Source organism: Homo sapiens, chromosome 6 (assembly GCF_000001405.40).
Source record: "Homo sapiens chromosome 6, GRCh38.p14 Primary Assembly".
NCBI lineage: Eukaryota > Metazoa > Chordata > Mammalia > Primates > Hominidae > Homo > Homo sapiens.
This window is the reverse complement of record NC_000006.12, coordinates 50,776,813-50,782,812: the sequence shown is the minus strand read 5'-3', so window position 1 is coordinate 50,782,812 and position 6,000 is coordinate 50,776,813. Positions and strand designations below refer to the sequence as shown.

Below are 6,000 nucleotides of genomic sequence, written 5' to 3'. Positions count from 1 at the left end.
GTCTTTGCTATTGTGAATAGTGTCACAGTAAACATACGTGTGCATGTGACTTTATAGCAGCATGATTTATAATCCTTTGGGTATATACCCAGTAATGGGATGGCTGGGTCAAATGGTATTTTTAATTCTAGATCCCTGAGGAATCACCACAATGACTTCCACAATGGTTGAACTAGTTTACAGTCCCACCAACAGTGTAAAAGTGTTCCTATTTCTCCTCGTCCTCTCCAACATCTGTTGTTTCCTGACTTTTTAATGATCGCCATTCTAAATGGTGTGGGATGACTTCATGTCCTTTGTAGGGACATGGATGAAGCTGGAAACCATCATTCTCAACAAACTATCACAAAGACGAAAAACCAAACACCGCATGTTCTCACTCATAGGTGGGAATTGAACAACGAGAACACATGGACACAGGAAGGGGAACATCACACACCGGGGACTGTTGTGGGGTGGGGGGAGGGGGGAGGGATAACATTAGGAGAAATACCTAATGTTAAATGACGAGTTAATGAGTGCAGCACACCAACATGGCACATGTGTACATATGTAACAAACCTGCACATTGTGCACAGGTACCCTAAAACTTAAAGTATAATAAAAAATAAAAATTAAAAAAAAAAAAGAAAAGAAAATCAGAGTTGTCTGCAAAAGGCAAAATTGTAAACATGAACTCCCAAGATTTCTTATCCGAATCCCTGGGACTGGGAATATAATGTGATATCACACTTGTGATTATATTACCTTAGATGATAAACATTTTGCAAATAAAATTATAGCTATTAATCAGTTGCCTTCAAGTTAATCAAAAGAGAGATTAGCTGGGTGGGCATAATCTTATCATATGAGTCCTTTCAAAGCCGGGATTTTTTTTTCCCTCTGGCTGGTAGAAGAATAGAAAGTCAGAGAGATATTTGTTGGTTGGATGCACTGTTGCTGGCTTTGAACACAAAGGGTACTATGTGACAAAGGCCTGAGAGTGGCCCCTCAGAGCTGCTAACAAGCCCTTATAGCCAGCAAAGAAATAGGTACTTAGTCTTACAACCAAGGAAATAGATTTTGCCAACCATCTGAGTGAGACTGGAAGTGGATTTTTCCCTAGAGCCTCCAGAAAGGATCCCATCCTGGTTGCTACCTTGAGTTAGCCTTATGAGCATCTAAGCAGAGAACGCAGTTGAGCGTAGCTGAGCTTGTGACCTATAGAAATGTGCACTAATAAATGGATGTTGATTTGGGCCACTAAGCTTGTGATAATATGTTATGCAACAGTAGAAAATGAATACAGCTGCATTGAATTGGTGACTTTTGTGCTGATTGAATCATAAGTAGGAGCTGGATGGTGATGGTGGAATATAATGTTCCAAGCTAAGAGAACCATATTGGCAAACTCTTAGATTGTGAAGAGTTTCAGGAATTCCAAGAAGCTTAATGTGGCTAGACAATGGACTGTGTGTGTGGGGAGGGGATGATGTGGGGGAAACAGGGAAGCAAGATAAAGCTGAAAGGGACTGGAGAAGAGAGCAAGGCCAAGTCAGAATGATATATTGTCAATTGTATAGAAGTTTGACTTTGTCATAAGGGCAATAGCAAGCCATGAAGAGGATTATTTGGGATGTGCAAATCATATTTACTTTTTACAATGAATCTCTCCAGTGAGGAGAATGGAATAAAAAGCAGGACTGGAGGCAGAAAATCCAGTTAGGAGGCTACTGCAGTAATGCAATCATGAGTTGCTAGTGCCCGGAACTAAGTGATTGGCTATCTGATAGTCATATTCACTAGGTCCTGACAAATTAATTACTTACTTTATTTATTTATTTATTTTGAGACAGAGTCTCGCTCTGTCACCCAGGCTAGAGGGCAGTGGCGTGATCTCGGCTCACTGCAACCTCTGCCTCCCAGGTTCAAGCGATTCTTGTGCCTCAGTCTCCCGAGTAGCCCAGATTACAGGCAATCACCACCACACTCAGCTAATTTTTTGTATTTTTAGTTGAGATGGAGTTTTGCCATGTTGCCTTGGCTGGTTTCGAACTCCTGAACTCAGGCAATCCCCATGCCTTGACCTCCCAAAGTGCTGGGATTACAGGCGTAAGCCACCGCACCCAGCCAAGTTAATTTATTATAATATTTTTATATTAATTTATCAGAATCTAGTGATTAACTGTAAGAGAGGATAGAGATAAGGATAGTTAAGATGGTTCACAAGTTTCTGTCTTGCGCAACTGTATGGAGTTGTCTTTAGCAAACATAGAAAATTTGGGATGTGTAATTAGTTGAGGGAGGTTGATTAGGATTCCATATTTTAATGTGTGTTGAGTTCGAAGATGCTATTTTTCATAAGATGATAATAACCATTGAAAATGGACAACATGGATCTGGAGTGCGGAAGAATATTATGGATTTATAATTCATTAGCATTGTGCCAAGACAGGCAAGCTACAGTAGTAAATACACCCTCCCAGCCTCCCTCATCCCAATTTCAGTGGCTTAAAATAATATATGTTTAGGTCAAAATAATGTGTGCTTCTTCTCCATGTGGCCATTCCGGGATCCAGGTACTCTCTATCTTGTGTCTCTGCCATCTGTAAAACAGTGGCTGTCAACTGTGAGTGATTTAGCAATGTTTGGAGATAATTTGGCTCCTTATAATTGTGAGGGATGCTACTGAAGTCTACTGCATAGAAACCAAAAATCTACTAAACATCCTGCAGCACACAAGATAGCTCTCATAATAAAGAATTATCTGGCCCCAAATGTGCCAGATAATTCTTTATCAATAGTGCCAAGGTGGAGAATCCTTGCTCTGAACTTTATCATATAACTCATGTAGAAGAGGACAGAACACAGAGAAAAGTGCATGACTGATTTTTACTGGTAAATCCTGGAAGTAGCAAGTATCACTCCCACTCTTCCTCTGGAGATAACTTAATCGCATGGCTGCAAACAACAAGAAGTTTAGTCTAGGTCAGAGATTGGCAAACTATGGCCCTCAGGAATAATCCAATCCGCTGCCTACTTTTGTAAATGATGATTTATCAGAACACAGTCATGGCCGTTTGTTTACATATTGTCTATAGCTACTTTCATGCTACATCAGCAGAGTTGAGTAGTTGCAACAGAGACCACATGGCCTGCATAGACTAAAATATTTACTATTGGGCCCTTTATTTAAAAAAAATTGCCAATCTCTCATATGGGAATATACGGCAGGACAAAGGAAAACTGGACTTTGTTAGATGACAATTGGTCTCTGCCATGAGAAAAGACATGTAATTGAAATTATGGTAGAACATTATGTTGCCCAGGGAGAACGCTGATGGTGAGAAAACAAAAGACAATATTTAAACCCACAGTTAGGTTTTATTGACAGTAAGACATCATGACTCAACTTGGAAGGAAGACTAAACATAAATTTATATCATACCTCTGTGCCTGTTTTCCAAATAGCTCTTGATATAAAAAAATTAAGGAAATGCAATATTAAAGAATAGCTTTGAAAACTTACAATAGGTTCTAACTGGCAATAACCAACATGGCCACATTAAACTTTTTTCTTCTGACTCTTATGGGGATTTATTTAGTTATTTCAATTTTTCTTAAGTGTCTTGGTCTTATTAAATTATGATGCAAATGGGAAGTAGCTGAAATAGATAATTTACTTGTGTAGTAGGTGTGTCTGCCAATTTGGCTATATGAAAAATGTCACTTTATTTTCTATAATGTGACTTAATTTCTATTTTTGAGCCTTCATTTGGAAATGTGGCAGAAATTAGCTCTCAGTACACTCAGGGTCTTCCTGGGTTACATATGTGTCCCAGGGTTTCATGGGGAGGGCTTATGTAGCACCAGACATGGAGGAACATCTGGCCTAGGTCTTCATCTGTTGATGCTGGCTTCTGTATTTTGTGATGCTAGGCCTGGAAGTCTGCCAACTACATTTCTCATAACCCTTTGCAAGCTGGATTCTAATTTGGTTCTGCAATGGGGCACAGATGGGAAGTGGAAGGAAGGAAGAAAGGGGGGAAAGGATGTTCCAGCATATTTCCAGTTCCTGCTATCATCCTTCCAGCAGAAGAGGTAGGTTAAGGCTCCAGCTTCCAGCTTCTTTTGCACTCCCAGAATTAGGACGCTCTACCCTCTCAAAAAATCTGCCAGCATTAATCTTGAGGTGGGTTCTCTCAGAGAGAGGTTCAAGCAACACCCATGGGTAGGGGTGTGCTTGCTTCAAAGTTCCTACATTCACGTAACTTTACTTCCTTACTTTTGTTTCCCCATTTCTGGGGATGGTAGCTGCTTTTTCAATTACGAGCATTTGGGTGACTCAGTGTCTCATTTTTGCTCTTTCGGCCTTCTAACACTTGTTTAACTCATTCTCTTTGAAATCCCTGAGTAGGGGGAAGGTCTGAATTCCTATCTAGTCTTTGATTGGCATGTCTCAGGTTTTTCTTGTGTGTCCTTATGTTCAACCTATGAGGAATCTGCATACTTGCCAGCTATCTGGATTGCTCTTGGGTGAACCTGAAATATTCAAGTGCTGCTTCCTTTGTTCCTCTTGCATCCACATCATGCTAGTCTGTCCCTGCCATCTTGAAATAAACTCCTTAGGAGAAATGTGAGTCTGTCTGAGTGCCACCTGCCTAGATGCACATCACATAGACAGCTCTTTGCTTCTGTACTGTGCTGGGCTTTCTTCCTCCGCTGGGCTTTTCTCTGGGATGAGGACATAATTCCACCTCTATAACAAGATTCACACCCCAACCTCACCCCCAGGACATGGCCCTATCTCAGAGATGCAATGCTACACTAAGCTTTAAACAATTATCCTTTGGCCGGGCGCAGTGCCTCATGCCTGTAATCCTAGCACTTTGGGAGGCCGAGGTGGGTGGATCACCTGAAGTCAGGAATTCAAGAGCAGCCTGGCCAACATGGCAAAACCCCATCTCTACTAAAAATACAAAAATTAGCTGGGCGTGGTGGCACATACCTGTAATCCCAGCTACTCAGGAGGTTGAGGCAGGAGAATCGCTTGAACCCAAGAAGCGGAGGTTGCAATAAGTCGAGATTGTGCCACCGTCTCTAGCCTGGGCGACAGAGCAAGACGCCATCTCAAAAAACAAGCAAACAACAACAAAAAAAACTCCTTCTTCTTTGTTCTTTCCCCAACCTATGGATTATTTTCTGGTCTCCAGTGTGTGTGGTGTTGTGGGGGAGGTTTCGGAGCGGGTGGAAGTAATAAGGTCCTGACTGAGATGCTTTTAAATCTCAAGTCCCCTCTAGAGCCTAAGATTTTGAAACTGAAAATTTTTATGAAAGTTTCTTTAAAACTTTTGTTGCCTCCATTCTTCTGGGTCACATTCCTTCCCTGAGGCAGTGCAGGCAACATGTTAGCTGCCCCAAAATGTGGAAGGAAGGTAGGAATAACCAGAAATACAAGGTGTGTCTGTTAGTTTTCAAAATAGCTTACTGCCCCAAATGTTTTTAAGTCTCCTAGAATCCTAAAGCCCTTTTTCCCGATCTCTAGCTTCCCATTTCCCTGATCACAACTCTCCTCCTCAATTTTTCACTCTCCCATCTCCCCCCATCTCCTGTTTCCTAGATCCTGGTCTGGCTTGTGCTGGGCACCCTGTGTGTATTTTCATCATGACACATACCATATTCTAATGGCTATTATCTTCATAGGAGAATATGAGAAGCTTGACATCAATAAAAATATTCTATTCCACTCTGTATCTTCAGTCTCTAGGACGAAGTCTGGCATAGAAAGGGTACAATAAGCTGAAGACAAACTGATCTCTAGATAAAAAATGATTTGTCCAAATTCTAAGTATTAAAGACAGTAGCTAATATTCACATAGCACTAACATGCCCCTTTTCTGCTCTAAACAGTTTAGATACACCAAGTCTTTGATTCTGACAGTAATTCTGTGAGTAGGTATCTATTATCATCCTCATTTTACAGATGGGAAAATGGAGGAGGCACAGAGAGGTGTGGCAACT

General features: G+C 41.1%; 1 annotated feature.

The window, feature by feature from the left end:
• Positions 2,751-2,951: a silencer, noted in NCBI's record as "peak5845 fragment used in MPRA reporter construct". NCBI's record gives its function as "represses an SCP1 promoter by STARR-seq MPRAs in K562 erythroleukemia cells {active_cell/tissue: K562}" and the evidence as "EXISTENCE:reporter gene assay evidence [ECO:0000049][PMID:32103011]".